General features: G+C 50.5%; 1 protein-coding gene across 32 annotated transcripts in view, besides 1 other annotated feature; it reads left to right on the plus strand.

Moving 5' to 3' along the window:
- CIITA (class II major histocompatibility complex transactivator) overlaps positions 1-21,598 on the plus strand; it is a 76,816-nt gene that overhangs the window by 34,488 nt on the left and 20,730 nt on the right. For 18 of the 32 annotated variants that reach the window (XR_007064880.1, XR_007064879.1, XM_011522485.3 and 15 more), the window contains exons 6-17: positions 821-865; positions 1,345-1,491; positions 1,965-2,108; positions 3,038-3,202; positions 4,051-4,119; positions 5,806-7,456; positions 8,336-8,494; positions 9,495-9,566; positions 14,877-14,957; positions 15,674-15,766; positions 17,747-17,833; positions 21,474-21,557. Coding sequence is in view for 28 of the 32 variants with exons in the window: in XM_011522485.3 (XP_011520787.1) it covers positions 821-865; positions 1,345-1,491; positions 1,965-2,108; positions 3,038-3,202; positions 4,051-4,119; positions 5,806-7,456; positions 8,336-8,494; positions 9,495-9,566; positions 14,877-14,957; positions 15,674-15,766; positions 17,747-17,833; positions 21,474-21,557 (2,797 nt within the window). In the remaining 4 variants the exon portion in view is untranslated. Of the gene's footprint in view, positions 1-820; positions 866-1,344; positions 1,492-1,964; positions 2,109-3,037; positions 3,203-4,050; positions 4,120-5,805; positions 7,457-8,289; positions 8,495-9,494; positions 9,567-14,876; positions 14,958-15,673; positions 15,767-15,855; positions 16,411-17,746; positions 17,834-18,121; positions 18,282-21,473; positions 21,558-21,598 lie in introns of those variants that run through there. The other 14 variants (XM_047434115.1, XM_047434118.1, XM_047434128.1 and 11 more) reach the window with 6 other exon arrangements.
- Positions 11,715-11,764: an enhancer, noted in NCBI's record as "active region_10400". NCBI's record gives its function as "activates an Ori minimal core promoter by ATAC-STARR-seq in GM12878 lymphoblastoid cells {active_cell/tissue: GM12878}" and the evidence as "EXISTENCE:reporter gene assay evidence [ECO:0000049][PMID:35858748]".

Consider the following 21,598-nt stretch of genomic DNA (forward strand, 5'->3'; position numbering starts at 1 on the left):
TGCGCCAGTGCACTCCAGCCTGGGCAACAGAGCTAGACTCTGTTTCAAAAAAAAAAAAAAATGTTTTCAAGATACAATAAAAGTGAAAGAATGGTACTATGAAGGTCCATATACCCACCATGTACCATTTTGATTCTACAATTAATGTTGGGTTTTATTCATCTTATCACATCTCTATTCATCTGTCCATCCCTCTATCCATCCACACACCCATTCATTATATTTTTGGTACATTTCAATGTACATTTCAAATGTAAATTGCAGATTTACACTCCCCTCGTGTACTTCAGCATCCTTTCTTTTAAGGCCATGCAGTGTTTCGTTGGGTAGATGAACCATAATTTGTTTAAGCAGTCCCTTGCTAAGGGACACGTGGGTTTTTAATCTGTTGCTGTGAGTGCTTGATACTCACTCACTGATTTCTGGCATACTCCTGCAATGTAGGAACCACCACCCCCATTTCATAGATGTGAGATCAAAGGTTCAGAGAAGCTGCATTGCAAAGGCACACAGCTAGGAAGCGGTTCAAAAGCAGGTTCCTTTGTTTTGTTTTGTTTTGTTTTTTGGCTCAAACCCATGTTGTGTCCCCATTTGTGACTCGGCCTCTTCTGCTGCTACACTGCCTGGTATGGTTTGAGATGGGGTTTGGGTTCAAGCCAAGGAGCTGGGGTTGGAATGTTAGAGCGAGGGGAGGAAAATGGACCCCCAAGACCACTACCCAGCCTTGAAGTTAAGGCCGTATAGCCTGCTAGAGTCCTGAGCCCCTTCTGGCTTGGGACATCCTCTCCCTGGGGCAGCTGATCACATGTTTTCTCTGCAGCCTTCCCAGAGGAGCTTCCGGCAGACCTGAAGCACTGGAAGCCAGGTGTGCAGGGCAGGTGGGCTGGGGTTGGGAAGGGTGGATGCCTTGGGGAGGGGATGGAAGAGATTGAACTCCTGGCCCAAGTCTGATGGGGATGGTGCATGGTGCAGCCCCTGCCCTTCTTTGGGTAGAGGCTGAGAGCTTGGGGTCCCTTAGAGTCCTCTAAGGGGCTCACGACTGTTTGTGGAAGGTGGTAGGGGCTTGGAGCTAACAGATTGTTCATAGGTTCTATTCTGCCCCAGCTCTCCGTGTGGAGGCCCTAGGGTCCTGCTCAGCATAGCTCTCAGAGCCAAGTCACAAGGAGAGGACTGGGGGACTGCCTGGCACAGAGCAGTTGCTGATCAACACAGCTGCAGCCAGGGCTGAGAAGATGACAAGCATTTCCTCTGTCAGGAGAGACATCCATGCCACTCCAGGGCCCTCCCCATCCCAGGAAGGCCCCTCCAAGCACCCAGTCTCTAACACAGCCCACTTCCTCACAGCTGAGCCCCCCACTGTGGTGACTGGCAGTCTCCTAGTGGGACCAGTGAGCGACTGCTCCACCCTGCCCTGCCTGCCACTGCCTGCGCTGTTCAACCAGGAGCCAGCCTCCGGCCAGATGCGCCTGGAGAAAACCGACCAGATTCCCAGTATGTTAGGGGGCTTGGAGAGAGTGGGCTTTCTCCCTCTTGGGAGGTGGATAAGGAGTTGACACTAAGGCAGGGACTGTCAGGAACTGGACCTCACCTCTCCCCAACCCTATCAGTGTCACTCACCTCTGCCCCAGCCAGTTTTATCCTTGGGGCCCCCGTCAGCTCAATCCCTGGCAGAGAACATGCCTCAGAAGGAAACACATCCGTGCGAGCATCAGGAGGGAATCTCCACCAATTAGAGCATTCACCTGCCAGCCTTATTCGTTCATCAGCTCTTCATGGAGCCCCTTCTCTGTGCCAACTGCTCTGCTAGGTGCTAAGAATTCCATCAGGGCAGGACAGAAACAGCTACTGCTCTTAGGGAAATTAGGGCCCTTTAGGGGGGTCAGACATTAATCAAATAAGCAAAAGCAGAATCGCAAACACAGGTGCTATGCAAGATCCCACCTCACTGCCTTTGTCTCTTGCAGTGCCTTTCTCCAGTTCCTCGTTGAGCTGCCTGAATCTCCCTGAGGGACCCATCCAGTTTGTCCCCACCATCTCCACTCTGCCCCATGGGCTCTGGCAAATCTCTGAGGCTGGAACAGGGGTCTCCAGTATATTCATCTACCATGGTGAGTGCGGGGCCTGGCTCCCCGACCACCTCTCCCTCCTACCTGACTGCTCCCTGACCTCATCCTCCCCATACTCCATGCACTTGGCAGTGGTGCCCTAGCACCTTCTCATGATCCTCCCTCCCCAGCACAACTTTCTCTGTCCCTATTTCCCAAAAATCAAAGCAGAAGAGCAGAGATTCCTGAGGTGGTCTGGGTGCATGACCAAGAGTGGTTGTGTGGCCTTCCATATGTTGCTTTCCCCTTCTGACCCTTAGTTTTTCCTTATTTTTTTTAAATGTTTTTGTTTTTAAATTGCAACATCAATACATGCTCACTAATAAGCTAATGACAAGTGATGTTTACAAGAATTCACTGTCTCTCTCACTCTTTTAGTATACTGATGTGAATAGTTTGGTGTGCATCCTTGCATAGCTTTCTCTGATTTGTCTTGTTTCCTAATCAGTAAAATGGTCCCTACTGACCCACCACACTGAGGGGTTGTGACTTGTCTCAGGGAAGGTGTGTTTGGGCTGTCAGGGATGAGACCAGGAGGATGCTTCCACTCAAGTCCAGAGCATCCATTCCTGGTTGCAAGACAGTTTCAGTATAACGCACTGGTATCTCAGAAGCAGAGAAGCAGTTCCTGATATCTAGGAAAATGAGCACTGACCACACAGCAGGAAGAGTGCAATAGTAGTACCTGCCCTAAGTTCCTTATGAGCTAATTGCACCCATTTCACAGATTGGAAAAGCAAGGTTCCAGGAGCTAGATGTAACTCCAGAGCTCTTTCTTCAGCTCTGTCCTGAAATATCTTCCTTTGGAAGTTCTACTCTCTTCTCTCCAGACTTCCTGAGCTCCACAGCCCAGTTTGGAGTAGGGGTGACCCAAGTGCATTTCTGGAATCAATACCTGGTTATTCTCACACCACTCTCCACCCCCAATGTAGGTGAGGTGCCCCAGGCCAGCCAAGTACCCCCTCCCAGTGGATTCACTGTCCACGGCCTCCCAACATCTCCAGACCGGCCAGGCTCCACCAGCCCCTTCGCTCCATCAGCCACTGACCTGCCCAGCATGCCTGAACCTGCCCTGACCTCCCGAGCAAACATGACAGGTAAGGACCCTTAGGGCCTGTGAGAGGTACTAGAAGCAGGATCGAGGCCCTGGGGAAGGAATTGTCTCAAATAAGATCCACAAGCAAAGCTGCCTGTAGGGACAACAGGTCATGTTTAGGGGTCAGTCGGGACAGGGAGGGTCTCCAGGGAGTGGAGGCATGGTTGTGGGGGAATGGACAGCTAGAGAATCCACATCCCATCCAAATACAGCCATCAGCCTTCAGCTGCTTGTTACCCAGCAGAAAAGCCAGACAATGTGGTCAGATCTTTTGAAGTTGAAAACCCTGATTTTTACATAGATATTGTGATTTTTTAATTTTTATTTTATTATTTATTTATTGTTGAGATGGAGTCTCACTCTGTTGCCCAGGCTAGAGTGCAGTGGTGCGATCTCAGATCACTGCAACCTCCGCCCTACAGGTTCAAGTGATTCTCCTGCCTCAGCCTCCGGAGCAGCTGGAATTACAGGTGTGCACCGTCACACCCAGCCAATTTTTGTAATTTCAGTAGAGACAAGTTTAACCATGTTGGCCAGGCTGGTCTCGAACTCCTGATCTCAAGTGATCCACCTGCCTCGACCTCCCAAAGTGCTGGGATTACAGGTGTGAGCCACTGCACCCAGCCTGATATTGCGATTTTCTTTTTTAAACATGAGTGAAATTTTTAAAAGTACAGTTGGCCAAAGAAAGACATATTTGAGTTAGATACAGCCTCAGGCCGCTATCTTATAACCTCCATCTTGGGAAACTCAGCCCATGAAGGCTGTAAGGACTAAGTGGCCCAGAGGGAGGGGGGTCCCCAGGGGTAACCCTCACCCTAAATCTGGCACCTGCTTCTCCATCTCCAGAGCACAAGACGTCCCCCACCCAATGCCCGGCAGCTGGAGAGGTCTCCAACAAGCTTCCAAAATGGCCTGGTGAGTGATGCGGGATCTCTCTGCCCTGGGTGGTGGAGATGGAAGCCCATATCTGGCTTCACATTGCTCATTCACTTGACACTTATTCAACCCCTTCTTTGTTGGCTCACACACTCATTTATTTATTCATTCATTCATTCATTCACTTATTTGATTATGCCATCATTTCACCATTCACTCCACCACTCCCTCAAATAATATTTATTGCCCTTCAATAAGCCTGCACTGGGTGTTAACACTTCATTGTCAGGCTGAGAGAATGAATGAGGGGCAAGCGAATGATGAAGTGAGTGAGTGGATGAAGTGAGAAGTTGATGAGGATGGGAGCAATGGAAAGTGGGAATAAACCAGTGAATAAGAGAATTACTAAATTACTAAATGCTTACTCTCACATACTGGTCTAAGCATGTTAGGTATGCTAAATCATTAACATCTCACACAATCCCAATATTATCCCCATTTTCCAGATGAGGCTACTGAGGCATGGTGGGATGTATAGCATGCTCAGAATTGCTCCAGCAAGTGGTAGAACCGGGATTTGAACCCAGACACGTGGGCTCCACTGTCTTAACTCTTAACACTCCCTCCCATGACCTCCCCATGGTGAGTGAGTAGTGATCAAGCGAAGAAAAAGCTTAGTGAGTAAATGAAGGAATGAGAAAAGATGGCCATGCATGGTGCCTTATGCCTGTAATCCCAGCACTTTGGGAGGCCAAGGCAGGTGGATCACCTGAGGTCAGGAGTTCGAGACCAGCCTGGCCAACATAGTGAAACCCCGTCTCCATTAAAAAATACAAAAATTAGCCAGACGTGGTAGTGGGTGCCTGTAATCCCAGCTACTTGGCAGGCCGAGGCAGGAGAATCGCCTAAACCCAGGAGGTGGAGGTTGCCGTGAGCTGAGATTGCGCCAGTGCACTCCAGCCTGGGGCACAGGGCAGGATCCATCTCAAAAAAAAAAAAGAGAGAAAAGGTCTAAAAGGAGTGGACACTTAAACAAGAGAGACGATGAGTGAAGGAATGGGTGTGGAAATGAGTGAACTAATGAATGAGTGGTGGGTGACTGAATGAAGCAAATGATGAAGACTGTATGGGGGCCAGATGTGGTGGCTCACACCTGTAATCCCAGCACTTTGGGAGGCCAAGGCGGAACGATTGCTTGAGCCCAGGAGCTCAAGACCAGCCTGGGCAAAATAGTGAGAACTTATCTCCACAAAAAAACAAAAAAGAAAAATTAGCCAGGCATGGCAGTGGGCGCCTGTAGTCCCAGCTACTCAGGAGGCTGAGGTGGGAGGATTGCTTGAGCCTGTGAGGTTGAAGCTGTGGTGGACCATGATTGTGCCATTGCACGCCAGCCTGGGCGACATAGTGAGACCCCATCTCTACAAAAAAATCAAAAAATTATCTGGGCATGGTGTCACATGTCTGTGGTCCCAGCTACTTGGGAGGTGGAGTCAGGAGGATCGCATGAGCCCAGGAGGTTGAGGTTGCAGCGAGCTGTGATCACACCACTGCATTCCAGCCTGGGCAAAAAAGCCAGACCCTGTCTCAAAACAAAACAAAACAAACAAACAAAAAAACTGTGTGGGGAACAGATGTAAATGATGGTGGCAGTGCTGGCCTTGTGGTGGCTGGCCCTGGCCCTGCCTCTCACATACCCCCACCCTGACACGCCCCTGGCCTTTGCAGAGCCGGTGGAGCAGTTCTACCGCTCACTGCAGGACACGTATGGTGCCGAGCCCGCAGGCCCGGATGGCATCCTAGTGGAGGTGGATCTGGTGCAGGCCAGGCTGGAGAGGAGCAGCAGCAAGAGCCTGGAGCGGGAACTGGCCACCCCGGACTGGGCAGAACGGCAGCTGGCCCAAGGAGGCCTGGCTGAGGTGCTGTTGGCTGCCAAGGAGCACCGGCGGCCGCGTGAGACACGAGTGATTGCTGTGCTGGGCAAAGCTGGTCAGGGCAAGAGCTATTGGGCTGGGGCAGTGAGCCGGGCCTGGGCTTGTGGCCGGCTTCCCCAGTACGACTTTGTCTTCTCTGTCCCCTGCCATTGCTTGAACCGTCCGGGGGATGCCTATGGCCTGCAGGATCTGCTCTTCTCCCTGGGCCCACAGCCACTCGTGGCGGCCGATGAGGTTTTCAGCCACATCTTGAAGAGACCTGACCGCGTTCTGCTCATCCTAGACGGCTTCGAGGAGCTGGAAGCGCAAGATGGCTTCCTGCACAGCACGTGCGGACCGGCACCGGCGGAGCCCTGCTCCCTCCGGGGGCTGCTGGCCGGCCTTTTCCAGAAGAAGCTGCTCCGAGGTTGCACCCTCCTCCTCACAGCCCGGCCCCGGGGCCGCCTGGTCCAGAGCCTGAGCAAGGCCGACGCCCTATTTGAGCTGTCCGGCTTCTCCATGGAGCAGGCCCAGGCATACGTGATGCGCTACTTTGAGAGCTCAGGGATGACAGAGCACCAAGACAGAGCCCTGACGCTCCTCCGGGACCGGCCACTTCTTCTCAGTCACAGCCACAGCCCTACTTTGTGCCGGGCAGTGTGCCAGCTCTCAGAGGCCCTGCTGGAGCTTGGGGAGGACGCCAAGCTGCCCTCCACGCTCACGGGACTCTATGTCGGCCTGCTGGGCCGTGCAGCCCTCGACAGCCCCCCCGGGGCCCTGGCAGAGCTGGCCAAGCTGGCCTGGGAGCTGGGCCGCAGACATCAAAGTACCCTACAGGAGGACCAGTTCCCATCCGCAGACGTGAGGACCTGGGCGATGGCCAAAGGCTTAGTCCAACACCCACCGCGGGCCGCAGAGTCCGAGCTGGCCTTCCCCAGCTTCCTCCTGCAATGCTTCCTGGGGGCCCTGTGGCTGGCTCTGAGTGGCGAAATCAAGGACAAGGAGCTCCCGCAGTACCTAGCATTGACCCCAAGGAAGAAGAGGCCCTATGACAACTGGCTGGAGGGCGTGCCACGCTTTCTGGCTGGGCTGATCTTCCAGCCTCCCGCCCGCTGCCTGGGAGCCCTACTCGGGCCATCGGCGGCTGCCTCGGTGGACAGGAAGCAGAAGGTGCTTGCGAGGTACCTGAAGCGGCTGCAGCCGGGGACACTGCGGGCGCGGCAGCTGCTGGAGCTGCTGCACTGCGCCCACGAGGCCGAGGAGGCTGGAATTTGGCAGCACGTGGTACAGGAGCTCCCCGGCCGCCTCTCTTTTCTGGGCACCCGCCTCACGCCTCCTGATGCACATGTACTGGGCAAGGCCTTGGAGGCGGCGGGCCAAGACTTCTCCCTGGACCTCCGCAGCACTGGCATTTGCCCCTCTGGATTGGGGAGCCTCGTGGGACTCAGCTGTGTCACCCGTTTCAGGTGGGGTGAGGGGCTTGGGGAAGAGACATCCTTGTGTTGGGCATTAACTGCGGTCTTGGTGCCAAGCCCAGTGCTCTGTGGGGTCTCTTTTAGTATGCAGAGCAGCCGGGTGGGGCAGAATGGATTCTCTCCATTTTTAAGATGAGGATGTTGAGGCTCAGAGAGGGGCAGCCACTTGCCACACAGCAAGTGAGAGGCAATGGCATTCTCCCAGTCAATATTTGAAGGCCCGCCATGTGCCAGTCACTGGGGTATGTCTAGAATCTGAGACTGACCTGGGCTCAAATTTGTTTTATTCTTTCCACCCCCTGAGCACGCCACCGTTTTCTTATGCTAAGAGTAAAGCCATGGCCTCCCCTTGGACTCTCTGCCTCCATTCTCTCCTCTTCCACTCCATTTTGTATTCAGCAACCAGACCAATCTTCTCAGAACTTGAATCTGATTGTATCCCATCCCTGCTTACAATCCTTCAGGGACACTCCACCACTGTCAGGATGAAGGCTAAATTCCTTAATTTGGTTTCATTAAGTCGGTCTGCAATCTGCTTGAGCATTTCAGCTTAATCGCCAGAGGATTGCTTCCATATTTCCCCCTAAACATACTTTACCCAAGCTGTAAGGTCCTACATAATTGTGCCAATAATTTAGCAGTGAGCTTCCTGGTAGCCGAAGCAAAAAGGGAAAGAAAACCACTGTGTGAGTTGTGAGAAAGTAGGAATCAATAAAGGCTGGAGTGGTCATGGAAGGCTTTCTGGGAAAGGTAGAGGTTGAGCTAAGGAAAGAAAGTATTTTAATAGGTAGGAGGACCCTTCATGGAGCTGCCCTTCCATTAAGGTCTAGCCTGGTCACCGTGCCTGGGTCTGAGGCCCTCCCTCCACAGGGCTGCCTTGAGCGACACGGTGGCGCTGTGGGAGTCCCTGCAGCAGCATGGGGAGACCAAGCTACTTCAGGCAGCAGAGGAGAAGTTCACCATCGAGCCTTTCAAAGCCAAGTCCCTGAAGGATGTGGAAGACCTGGGAAAGCTTGTGCAGACTCAGAGGTGAGAGGAGAGGCGGATGGGAGGTGGTTCACGCCATGCAGGTTGAGGACATGTAGGACCCATTCTCAAGTTTGTCATGGGCATTTCCAGTGCCCCCTGTCCTCTGGGACACCCCATGCCCTCTTTCTGGGCAATGGCTAACCAGAGTCTCTCACTGCACTCGCTGCCCAGGCGGAGCCTCTAGAATTGAAAACTTTGCTGCATTCAAAACCTGCCATCATGTGCCCAAGTCTTAGCTAAAGCCATGGAGAACCTCTCCCCTTCTAGGAGTTAACAAGGATGCCTTGTGCACCTAGTAACAGAAGTGACACCTACTGCCACCCTTTGAGGCATTTAGGACAACTGTTGTCCCAAATTTATAGACGGCAGAGCTAAGGTCCAGAAGGCAGACAAAACTTGATTACAGAACAAGTTAACTGTCTTTCATTCATTCCTTCATCACACATTGTTTGAGCGCCTCTTAAGTGCTGTCTGGGATAGGTACTGGTAAGTGCCTAATCTGAGGCTCATTTCCATGAAAGATACAGTCCTGAGATCTTTTATTTTTATTTTTATTATTTCTTAAAGACAGGGTCTCGCTGTGTCTACCAGGCTAGAATACAGTAGTGCGATCATAGCTTACTGTAGCTTCGGAACTCCTGAGCTCAAGCGATCCTCCTGCCTCAGCCTCCCAAGTAGCTGGGATTATAGGTGCACGTCATCACACCGGATGATTTTTTAAGTTTTTGTAGACACAGGGATCTTGCTATGTTGCCCAGGCTGGTCTTGAACTCCTGGCCTCAAGCAATCCTCCTGCCTCAGCCTCCCAAAGTGCTGGGACTACAGTCACGAGGCACCGCACCCAGACAGATCTTTTTTTTTAAGAGGGGGACAACAGTTGCCCCAAGGAAAGCAATCCCCCTGGGGAATTTGGGGCACTGGGGCAGCCATCATGGGACCCATGGGTAAGGGCTCAGTGACAGCAGTGCCTGCTCCCCCTAACATTGCCTGTTCTCTCCAGGACGAGAAGTTCCTCGGAAGACACAGCTGGGGAGCTCCCTGCTGTTCGGGACCTAAAGAAACTGGAGTTTGCGTAAGCAAAGGGGTGGATTGTCTTGTGGGTCTGCGCAAGGTTTCCCCTGCAGCATTAGCTGGGCTTGTACCACCTGAATGGAGATAGATCTCCAGAATCATTCTTACCCTCTTGCCCACCACTTTGGAAATAGCTTCCAGCAGCTGGAAAGTGACCAGTGTGGGCAAATGCTGGAGGTTCTCAGATTTGAAGCTAATGGACCCGTTTGCTGGTTAACATGGTCATTCCCATCACTCATTCAACAGAGGTATTGAGCACTTGAATGACTGAGGCTGCTGTCCTCATGAGCTGACAGTCTAATCAACTCCCCTCTGGAGGAGGTCAGGGGGACTTCCTGGAGGAGGTGATATCTGCACTGAAGCTTCAGTGAGGATAAGGAATGAGCTGAGTGGGGAGAGGGGAGTAAGAAAGGCTTTCCAGGAATTGTAATTTCGCCAGGGATCAGAAAAGGCCCAATGTGTCCCCAACCTTCCATAGGAGGATGCCACTATGACTATGGAGTCCTTTTCCCTCCTGTGGCCAGGAACTGCACAACGTCCCTTGTGCCTGAGCTTGTTTACTTCCACAGCCAAGGGATGGCCTCCCCAGGGAGAATCTTTCCCCCATTTTGAAATTCCCAGGAGCTTTTGATGTGCAGCTAGGATGAAAAAGCAACCCTACTTGCCTGGGACTATCCTGGTTTGAAAACTGAAAGTCTTGCATCCCAAGAAGCCCCTTAGTCCCAGGCAAACTGGGACAGTTGGTTGCTCTATGTGTGGCCAGGGCTGGGGGCCACACCCTAGGCAGTGTTGCTGGGGTGACAGAAATGGAGACCTAGGCAAGGCTCTAGGGAGTCCAGTTGTGTCTGGGTCACTGAGGAGGGGCAGCCCACCATACATGGGCCCCAAGAAAGCACAATAATTATTATATTTAGATCTGTCAGAATATAGCTTTTCTTTCTTTCTTTCCTTTCTTCTCTCTTTCTTTTTCTTTCTTTCTTCTTTCTTTCTTTCTCTCTTTCTTTCCTCTTTCTTTCCTTTCCCTTCCTTTTCTTTCCTTCCCTCCCTCCCTCCTTCCTTCCTTCCCTCCCTCCCTTCTTCCCCCTTTTCTTCTTTTTCTTTCTCTCTGTTTCTTTCTTTCTTTCTCTCTCTCTCTCCCTTCCTTCCTCCCTCCCTATCTCTCTCTTTCTTTCTTTCTTTCCTTCTTTTCTTTCTTTCCTTTCTCTCCTTTCTCTTTCTTTCTTTCCATTCTCTTTCTTTCTCTTTCCTTCCCTCCCTTCCTTCTCTTCCTTCCTTCTTTTTCCTTTCCTTTTCTTTCCTTTTCTTTTCTTTCTTGAGGCAGAGTCTTACTCTGTCCCTCAGGCTGGAGTTCAGTGGCACAATCACAGCTCACCACAGCCTCAACCTCCCTAGGCTCAAGTGATCCTCCCACCTCAGCCTCCCTAGTAGCTGGGACTACAGGCATGCCCCACCTGACTAATTTTTGTATTTTTTGTAGAGACAGGATTTCACCATGTTGCCCAGTCTGGTCTCGAGCTCCTGGGCTCAAGCAATCCTCCCACCTCAGCCTCCCAAAGTGCTAGGATTACAGGTGCGAGCTCCCGCACCTGGCCAGAACAGGCTTTTAAATTTGCAGCTCACCTTCCATCTCAATTATCTCAGGCCACCCTCCTCTACAGGCATTGTCATCATCTCCCCATTGTACAAATGGCAATGCTGAGAACAAGAGACTTTAAATTGTTTATCCAAAGTCATAAAGGTCAGGTCAGCCTGGCCCTAAGCTCCTTCCACAGAAAAAGCTAAATGAATGTTTGTTCCTTGGTAGGGGTCTAGATCATCTAATGATTAGGAAGGAGTTGTTATGCCTGTGGTATATTCGGTGCTGTTTTTTTTTGGAGATGGGGTCTTGCTCTGTCACCCAGGCTAGAATGCAGTGGTATGATCTTGGCTCACTGCAATCTCCACCTCTCGGTTCAAGCAATTTTCCTGCCTCAGCCTCCCGAGTAGCTGGGATTACAGGTGTACACCACTACACCTGGCTAATTTTTGTATTTTTAGTAGAGACGGGCTTTAACCATGTTGGCCAGGCTGGTCTTGAACTCCTGGCCTCAGATGTTCCTCCCACCTCAGCCTCCCAAAGTGCTGGGATTACAGGTGTAAGCCACCATGCCCAGCTTATAATTCAGTGCATTTTATATATAATCTCATTAATCTCAAGAGCTACTGTGGAAGACAGACAGTCATCATCTTCCCCATTTTACAGATGAGGAGACGGAGGCCTGGTGAGGTTAAGTGACTTGCCCGTGGTCCCCCAGCTGGTCACCCACAAGCTATCAGCTCTCCCTGATCACTGCTCCCCTGTGCCCCAGAAAAAAGCCAGTGTCTCTTGTTTTGAACAGAGACAAGGTGCTAAATTTGTCCAGAGGTAAAAATGATGCTGAAAAGGGGAAATGTCTGAAAACAATAACTGAGGGCCCTTTCTGGCCTTAAATTATTTTCAGCTGAAAAAGCCCCTAGTTCAAGATCGGAACTGCGCTCTGGGGAACAGCGGCCATGGGGTGGAACAGCCTAGAGCCGGGTGATCAGCCACCTGGAGACCGGAAGCCCCCGAGGAGGTTCTGAGGAAGGAAGGAAGGAAGGAAAAGACTATTTCTGGCATTTTCTCAGGCTTCTACTGTGCCCAGGCACCCTGTAGACCTCATCTGTCTGTCAAATCAGGGTTCTTAGCCACTCACAACCCTACAGGGACTTCGTTTGTACACAGAGTCCTTCCCCAGTTCAGTCCCCACTCACCTGTTCACCCTTATCTCCTACACTCGCTGGGTGCTCTCTCCATTCCAGCCACAGGGCCTCCTTGCTGGCTTTCAACCTCCTAGGCATGCTTCTGCCTCCAGGCCTTTGCACCGGCTGTGCCCTCTGCCTGGAATACTTCTCCCCAGATATCTGCATGGCTCATGCCTTCACCTCCTCTGGTCTTTACTCAGTGAGGCCTTTTCTTTTCTTTCTTTCCCTGTTTCTTTCTTTCTTTCTTTCCCTCCTTTCTTTCTTTCTTTCCCTTTCTTTCTTTCTTTTTCCTTTTTTCTTTTTCTTTTTTTGAGGTGGAGTCTCGCTCTGTCACCCAGGCTGGAGTGCAGTGGCACAATCTCGACTCACTGCAACCTCCTCCTCCCAAGTCCAAGTGATTCTCTTGCCTCAGCCTCCCGAGTAGCTGGGACTACAGGCACATGTCACCACATCTGGCTAATTTTTTGTATTTTTAGTAGAGACGGGGTTTCACCGTGTTAGCCAGGATGGTCTCAATCTTCTGACCTCGTGATCCCCCCACCTCGGCCTCCCAAAGTGCTGGGATTACAGGCGTGAGCCACCACACCCGGCCTCAGTGAGGTCTTTTCTGACCCTCACAGTTAAAAATAAAACTCTGGCCAGGCGCAGTGGCTTATGCCTGTAATCCCAGCACTTTGGGAGGCCGAGGCAGGTGGATCACAAGGCCAGGAGTTTGAGACCAGCCTGGCCAACATAGTGAAACCCCATCTCTACTAAATATACAAAACAAATTAGCTGGGCATGGTGGCAGGTGCCTGTAGTCACAGCTACTTGGGAGGCTGAGGCAGGAGAATCATTTGAAACCGGGAGGCGGAGGTTGCGGTGAGCTGAGATCACGCCACTGCAGTCCAGCTTGGATGACAGAGTGAGACCCCATCTCAAAAATAAATAAATAAATAAATAAATAGAACTCCATTCCCCTCATGGTTAAAAAAAAAACTCCATCCCCCTCACCACTGTATATTTCCATATGATTCATTGTCTCAGACATCAGCTTGCTTTCCGATTTCTTTGATTATCTGTCTATCTTCCCCCCTGGAATGTCAGCACCCAGAAGGCAGGGATTTTCGTCTGTTTGGCCCACAACTTTCCTCCCTGGGCCTGGCACATAGTAGGCAAGCGGTCAATATTTAACAACGAATGCCTTAATCCAAGAACCCCCATAAGATTGGGGTGAAATATTTGAGGAGATCAAGACTTAAGGGTGAAGGGATTTGCCAAGGCCTTTAGCAGGGAGCCAAATGCCAGATCCTGGAGTCAAACTCTGATCCTGTGGCCTTTTGCTGAGGCCAGTGTTCTCAGACTTCAGGATTTCAGAGGCCGAGAACATTTCGGAATGAATTCGAGTGACCGTGCGCGGTTACTGTTTTTTAATGTTTATCAAGGATGCTCATTCAAACAAACAAATAACAACAAAATACCCACTGCTGGCACCATAATTTTACCAAAGAATGATCATTCTAATATTGAAAAAGTTCAAAGGACATAATTGCAGAATAAAAGACAGCTCTTTATATGGAATGCATTTAACCATATTTTTAAACTAAACGGCCCTTCGTTGTCCTTATTTTTCTCATCCCCTTGAAGTCTGCTCTAAATGTTGATCCAGGCTGTGTGACCCTGTGTGAGCTATTTGATCGCCTAGTGCCTCAGTTTCCCTATATGTAAAATGGAGATAAGAGCCCATAGCTCAGAGTCTTGAGGAGTAAATGAGATCTAGGCCGAGGGAAGGGCCTAGCATGCCCCTGGCTTATAATAAATGCTCAACAAATGGTTCCTTTTGTTATTAAAATGCAAAGGCATATTAGTCAACCACCTGGTTTACCACTGGCAGTGGTCGTCAGCTGGCATTTCAGGACCCCTTCCCCAGGCTGCGGCGGGAGAAGGGTATCTGTGGATGTTGGGAAGAGTAAGAACTGGCTCCCTACTTAGAGACAAAAGCTGGGGAGCCCCAAGATGGGAGCCCAACTTACCTCTTTTTCTTTTCTTTTTTTGTTTTTTTTCTTTTTTGAGACAGGGTCTCGCTCTTACCCAGGCTGGAGTGCAGTGGTGTGATCATGGCTCACTGCATCCTCCACCTCCTGGGCTCAAGCGATGCTTCCACCTCAGCCTCCTAAGAAGCTGAGACCACAGGACACACCACCACACTTGGCTAATTATTGTGTTTTTTGTAGAGACTGAGTCTCACTATGTTGCCCAAGCTGGTCTTGAACTCCTGGGCTCAAGCAGTCCTCTTACCTTGGCCTCCCAAAATGCTGGAATTACAGACATGAGCCACTGTTCCCAGCCTCAACTGGCCTCTTATGGGGGGCTATGAAATCTACCCCAAGCAGAAAAGATTGGGGTCCTACGTGGAAGGGTTGCAGGGACCTAAGAGGCTGGGGTGGAAGGGAAGAGGAGGGGCCTCAGACAGGACCTGACTTCTGTGCCTTGTCTCTGCCCCACCCTGGGGCTGAATGAGGGGCTGTGACTGTGACTGGAGGTCTTACCCTTGCTCTTTGCCTCCTAGGCTGGGCCCTGTCTCAGGCCCCCAGGCTTTCCCCAAACTGGTGCGGATCCTCACGGCCTTTTCCTCCCTGCAGCATCTGGAGTGAGTATAGACTCTGGGACCCCTTCCTCTCAACATCTGGGTGCAGTGCTGTGATCATAGCTCACTGCAGCCTCGAATTCCTGGCCTCAAGTAGTCCTCCTGCCTCAGCCTCCTGAGTAGCTGGGACCACAGGTGCATGCTACAGTGCCCAGCAACCTCTGGGTTTTGACAACCCCAAATCCTGCCCCCAAGGCACCTGCAGAAAGAAAAGCCCTCACTTTGTCCCTTTTTTTCTCTCTTCCGCCTACTGCATCCTCAATGTGGCTGGCACATGAGTGATGAGATGACGCCACATCAGATGGGAATCCCCAGTGACAAAAAAAGTTGTAGATCCTTTCGTGACCTTTGAAACTCCTTTCCTCACAACCTCATTTGCTGCTCTCAGCAATTCAGCTGGGGAGGGATTGGGGAGCATAGTCCTACTTTACAGTGGAGGTTAAGGAAGTTGCCAAGCCTCAGGGGCTTAGTTCCTAAGAAGCTAAACAGGGATTCAAGTCCATCATGAGTTAGACTTTGCCCTCTGGCTGCCTGGTTGGAGCCCCCAGGTGATGAAGTCCTCGTCTGAAAAGCTCAGGAATGTGCCGGCTGCCTATGGTGTATTAGAGCTGGGGGGTGGGAAGGGCAGGTGCCAGGGCTGAGGAGGCCCTCACTGGGATGGGAAGGGTCAGATGGCCCCAGGACGCTAGCTGATGGCCCCCATCTGATTCCACCTGCAGCCTGGATGCGCTGAGTGAGAACAAGATCGGGGACGAGGGTGTCTCGCAGCTCTCAGCCACCTTCCCCCAGCTGAAGTCCTTGGAAACCCTCAAGTGAGTGAGCTGGGCCTGCCCTTCCTGCTGAATCGGGCCCCCAAAGTCCGGCTGACTTTTTCAAAATTAATTTAAATTTGTTTTTTTAGACAAGGGCTCGCTGTGTCACCCAGGCTAGAATATAGTGCTATGATCATACCTCTGCAGCCTTGAACTCCTGGCCTCAAGGAATCTCCTCACCTCCGCTTCCCAAAGTGCTGGGATTATAGGTGTGACTTACCATGCCCAGCCCCAGTGGATTCATCCATTCACTCATTCACCTATTCAATCAGCCATTCATCCTTCCATTCAATGATTCATCCATTCACTTATGCAGTCATTTCTTTACTCCCTCATCCAACCGCTCACTCAATCATTTCTTTACTTACCCAACCATTTATTAATTTAATCAACAAATATTTAAGGAGGACCTACTATGTGCAGGCACCTTTCTAGGCCCTGGAGACCCAGCTTTAAACAAAACAAATAAATCCCCTGACCTCAGGAATCTTAAATTCTAGTGAGGAGACACAATGAACAAGTAAACAAGTCGGTAATTATAAAGTATACAGTAATGAAAATAATGTTTGGTGACAGAAAATTATACTGGGGGGTGAAATAGGAGAGATAGATTAGGATTTATCAATAAAGCATTATTATCAAAACAGTAAAACTTTTTAAAAACTGTTCTGGGCTCTGGGAAGTTGGAGATGGATAAGATACAGGAGGATCAATGTGATTTTTTTTCTTTTTTTCAGACAAGGTCTCGCTCTGTCACCCAGGGTGGAGTGCAGTGGTGTAATCATGGCTCACTGCAGCCTCAATCTCCTAGGCTCAAGCAATCCTCCCATCTCAACCTTCTGAGTAGCTGGGACAGGTGCATGCCACCACGTCCCGCTAATTTTTGTATTTTTTTGTAGAGACGTGGTTTCACCACGTTGCCCAGGCTGGTCTTGAACTTCTGAGCTCAAGCCATCCTCCTGCCTCTGCCTCCCAAAGTACTGGGATTACAGGCATGAGTCACTGTGCCTGGTTCAATGGGATTTTTTTTTTTTTTTTTTGACACGGAGTCTCGCTCTGTAGCCCAGGCTGGAGTGCAGTGGTACGATCTATTTATTGCAAACTTCACCTCCTGGGTTCAAGCAATTCTCACACCTCAGCCTCCCAAGTAGCTGGAATTACAGGCATGCACCACTACACCCAACTAATTTTTGTATTTTTAGTAGAGACGGGGTTTCACCAGGTTGGCCAGGCTGGTCTTGAACTCCTGACCTCAAGTGATCCGCCCACCTCAGCCTCCCAAAGTGCTGGGATTACCGGCATGAGCCACCACGCCCAGTTCAACATGATTTTTTACTGAACCTAGAGGATATCAAAATCTTCCCACACTCCCCCTCACAACCAAGGTCTTAGGATGGCCAAATAATTTACCGGAATTTACTTAGCAATTTCCTTAATTGTAGGACTGTGGGACTTCTCCAGTAATTTCTAGTGTCCTAGGTAACACTGTAAGCTAGATTTCTTCTCCTTAGTCCTTCCGTCCCCCTCTTTCTTACCCGCCACCCCACTTAAGTATTTATTGAGCACCTACTATGTGCCTGGCAGTGCTCTAGGCACAGGGATACAGTAATGAGCAAAACAGACACAGCCCTGCTCCATGTGAAGCCCACAACCCGGCAGAAAGGATTACACAGCCATTAAACAAATAATGCCAACACTTATTTCATTATAGTGCTGAAAAGTGGCGCAGAGGGAAAAGAGGGGATGTTGTAAAGTCATGGGACAGGTGGGGGCAGGAGGGTGCACTCTCCCTCCCATCCACCTCCTCATCCCTGCCCTCCCACTTGGCCACAGGACCTAACAGTATCCTCCTATTTACCGAGAGGTAGCTTAAGTCTGTCGACAGCGCCATTCACAGCCTATGACCCAGAACTCTCCTTGAGGTCAAAGTGAGGCATGCAAGTTTGGTCCTGAGCCCTCCCCCTCACTGTGTCCCCGCAGTCTGTCCCAGAACAACATCACTGACCTGGGTGCCTACAAACTCGCCGAGGCCCTGCCTTCGCTCGCTGCATCCCTGCTCAGGCTAAGGTGAGTGGGGCCCCGGATACCGGTCAGGTGCTGAGCTGGGGGGCTGCAGAGCGCAGGGAACCCACATCGTGCTGGCTGCAGGGGACACTGAGACCCTAGAAGCAATCACCACAGCCCTGAACAAAAGGATTAGCGGGACGTGGTGAAAGAAACTCTGAGCAAGTCAGTTATTCATTCCTAGCCGCTGTTTTCTTACCTGGAAAATGGGAACCATCCTAATGGTCTATGTAAGCACTTGTCACAATGCCAGGTTCTGTTATGCAATAAATATTGCTCCTTTTCCCCCAGGGATGGCGGGACCAGGCTTTTTCCGGAACCTAGGGGTGGTGGCTTCTGGAAGGCTAACCACGTACGTCAGCTTTTGCCGGCCTTGTCACTTACATGCCGGTCAGTGTTTCACTGCCACCTTCTGGTAGGCCTTGGCATAGCACCTCTTGCTTTTGAGTGACTTCCATCCAGGCCCTGGTGTGGTCCCAGAGGTAATGAGCGGACTGAGCTTGGACCAGAGCCCCAGTCATCCAACTCAGCATTACCAGCTCTTCTTACTCGCCAGACTGAGAGAAACTGCTCTCCTCTTCGCCAGAGCTCTTCACTTACTGAGGACAACCAGAGTCAGATTCCCAGGAAAGATGGCATTTGGTCCCTTATTATTTATTTATTTTTAATTTTTTTAATTTCTGTTTTTGAGATGGAGTCTCGCTCTGTCACCCAGGCTGGAGTGAAGTGGTGTGATCTCAGCTCACTGCAACTTCTGCCCCCCCCCAGGTTCAAGCTATTCGCCTGCCTCAGTGCTCCGAGTAGCTGGGATTATAGGCGCCCACCACCACGTCCAGCTAGTTTTTATATTTTTAGTAGAGACAGGGTTTCGCCATGTTGGCCAGGCTGGTCTCAAACTCCTGATCTCAGGTGATCCACCTGCCTCGGCCTCCCAAAGTGAGTACTAGGATTACAGGCGTGAGCCACCATGCCCGGCCAACTTATTTATTTATTTATTTATTTATTTATTTGGAGATGGGGTCTCACCCAGGTTGTAGTGCAGGGGTGCAATGATGGCTCACTACAGCCTCGACTACCTGGACTGAAGCGAACCTCCCACCTCAGCCTTCCAAGTAGCTGGGTCCTATACCCTCCTGAGCCTTGTTAATTTCTTCCCAGCATGATCACTGTTTTACAATATTTTATTTATGTAGGTGCTTACTTCTTGCTATGCAAAGAAACTCAGAAGCAAAAATAGAATCTGTCTGGTTCATAATTGTGCTAAAAACTAGAGATACAAGTATGAACTAGACAGATGTCGTTCTTGCTTTTGAGTTTCTTTGCGTAGTAGGAATTAGGCACATACATAAATAAAATATTGTAAAACAGTGATTCATGCTGGGAAGGAAACTAACAAGCCCCAGGAGGGTACAGGACTTCTGGGGAGATGATTCTTCCGTGGGAAGCTCTAGGGGAAAAGGACTCTAGGAAGAAAGAACAGCAGGTGCAAAGGCCCTAAGTGGGAAAAGGGGCTGTGTTTTAAGGGTCAGAAGGGCCACTGTGGCTGTGTGTAGTGAATGAGGGACAGAGGCTGGGCAATGGTGGAAGTAGGGGAGGTCAGGGGAATCCAGATCACACAGGGAGGCCCTTGTGGGTCACAAGAGGTATTTGCAGTTTTTCAGTGTGAATGGAAAAGTAGGTGGGCCTGGGAAGGCGACACTTGATCTGATTTACACTTTTCTTTTTTCTTTTCTTTTCTTTTTGAGACCAAGTCTCACTTTATTGCCCAGGCTAAGGTGCAGTGGCATGATCTCAGCTCACTGCAAGCACTGCCTCCTGGGTTCAAGTGATTCTCATGCCTCAGCCTCCCAAGTAGCTGGGATTACAGATGCCCGCCACCACACCAGGCTATTTTTGTGTTTTCAGTAGAGACAGGGCTTCGCCATGTGGCCCAGACTGGTCTTGAAATCCTGGGCCCAAGCGATCCACCCACCTCAGCCTTCCAAAGTGCTGGGATTACGGGTGTGAGCCACCATGCCCAGCCTGATTTACCCTTTAAGAAACATCATATTTCATGGAATCTAAGATGCCATCCATTGTAAGACCCCAATATGAGGCCAAAATGCAAACTGTGACACGCTATTGGTTATAAGACACATCCTGATCTCAATGATATTCAAATGGTGACATATATGTCTTGGCATCGATGAAATATGGTCAGATTACTCTCCCTGTGGGGTGGAGGAAGGGTCTCCAGGGTTCAGAGATTGCAAAACCCCCATCTAGTTTCTGCACTGGTACCGGCCGACCCGTGATGTGAGTTGATTTAGCCTGAATCCACTTGGCAGCAGTGTAAACCTGCTGCATTTATTTATTTTTTTCTTTTTTTTTCGAGACAGAGTTTCGCTCTTGTTGCCAAGGCTGGAGTGCAGTCTCAGTTCACTGCAACTCCGCCTCCCGAGTTCAAGCAATTCTCCTGCCTCAGCCTCTCAAGTAGCTGGGAGTATAGGCATGTGCCATCACACCCGGCTAATTTTGTATTTTTAGTAGAGACGGGGTTTCTCCATGTTGGTCAGGCTGGTCTCAAACTCCCGACCTTAGGTGATCCACCCGCCTCGGCCTCCAAAGTGTTAGGATTACAGGCGTGAGCCACTGCACCTGCTGCTTTTATATGCAGCCCTGCAAGGGAGTTCTGAGGCTGAATCATGGCAAAGTCATGGCCCTGAAATCATACCCGCAGCAGCACCTGACCTGTTAAAAGGCTGCTTGGTGTCGAGTAAACAGCTGAAGTTGGCATCAGTGACACTCATCATGCTATTTTCACTGCTACTAATGCTGGTTGTGAATATGCTGCAGAAACTGGAGCTGGTCCAGTGACTGGCTTTTTCTCTTCCTGCCCCCAGTGCTGGTCACACCCTCTATGTTAACTCATGCGACCCTCACCAATGTTCCTGTGATGTAGTCAGAACCATAGCTAACATTTAGTTCATTCTAGGCACCAAGGCATGTTCTAAATGTTATATCAGCATTGATTCATTTACTCCTCCCCACAATGACTCTATCATGCCCATTTTACAGATGGGCAAACTGAGTCTCAGAAGAGTTGAGTAGCTTGCCCAAGGTCACATAGGCAGTAAGAGGCATAGCTGGGATTTGAACTTGGGAAGTTGTTCTGACAGTTTCCACACAGTAAGGCAAGAAATGACTTCCTTTTAGTCCTGCTGTTTTCCTGGGCTCACTGTTTGACCACAGAGAAGTGGTCTCAACTCTCTGGGTCTTGGTTTGCCTGTCTTTAAAATGGGGCAGTAATCCCAGTAGGTGGTGACTCCCACGGGGCTGACCTCCAGGCTGCAGGGGACACTGAGATCCTAGAAGCAATCACCACAGCCCTGAACAAGAGAACTAGTGGGACCTGGGGACAGAAACTTTGAGCAAGTCACTTATTCATTCCTAGCCTCTATTTTCATATCTAGAAAATGGGAACCATCCCAATGGCCTATGTAAGTACTTGGCACAATGCCAGGCTCTGTTGTGCAATAAATATTGATTCCTTCCCCCAGGGATAGTGGGACCAGGCTTTTTCTGGAATCTAGGGATGGTGGCTTCTGGAAGGCTGACCATGCACAGGCCTCCAATCCCTCCCCCTGGCCTCTGTTTCCGACAGCTTGTACAATAACTGCATCTGCGACGTGGGAGCCGAGAGCTTGGCTCGTGTGCTTCCGGACATGGTGTCCCTCCGGGTGATGGAGTGAGTGTGGGAGTCTGGGCGGTGGGTGGCTCAGCCCGGGG

Source organism: Homo sapiens, chromosome 16, assembly GCF_000001405.40.
Source record: "Homo sapiens chromosome 16, GRCh38.p14 Primary Assembly".
Lineage (NCBI taxonomy): Eukaryota > Metazoa > Chordata > Mammalia > Primates > Hominidae > Homo > Homo sapiens.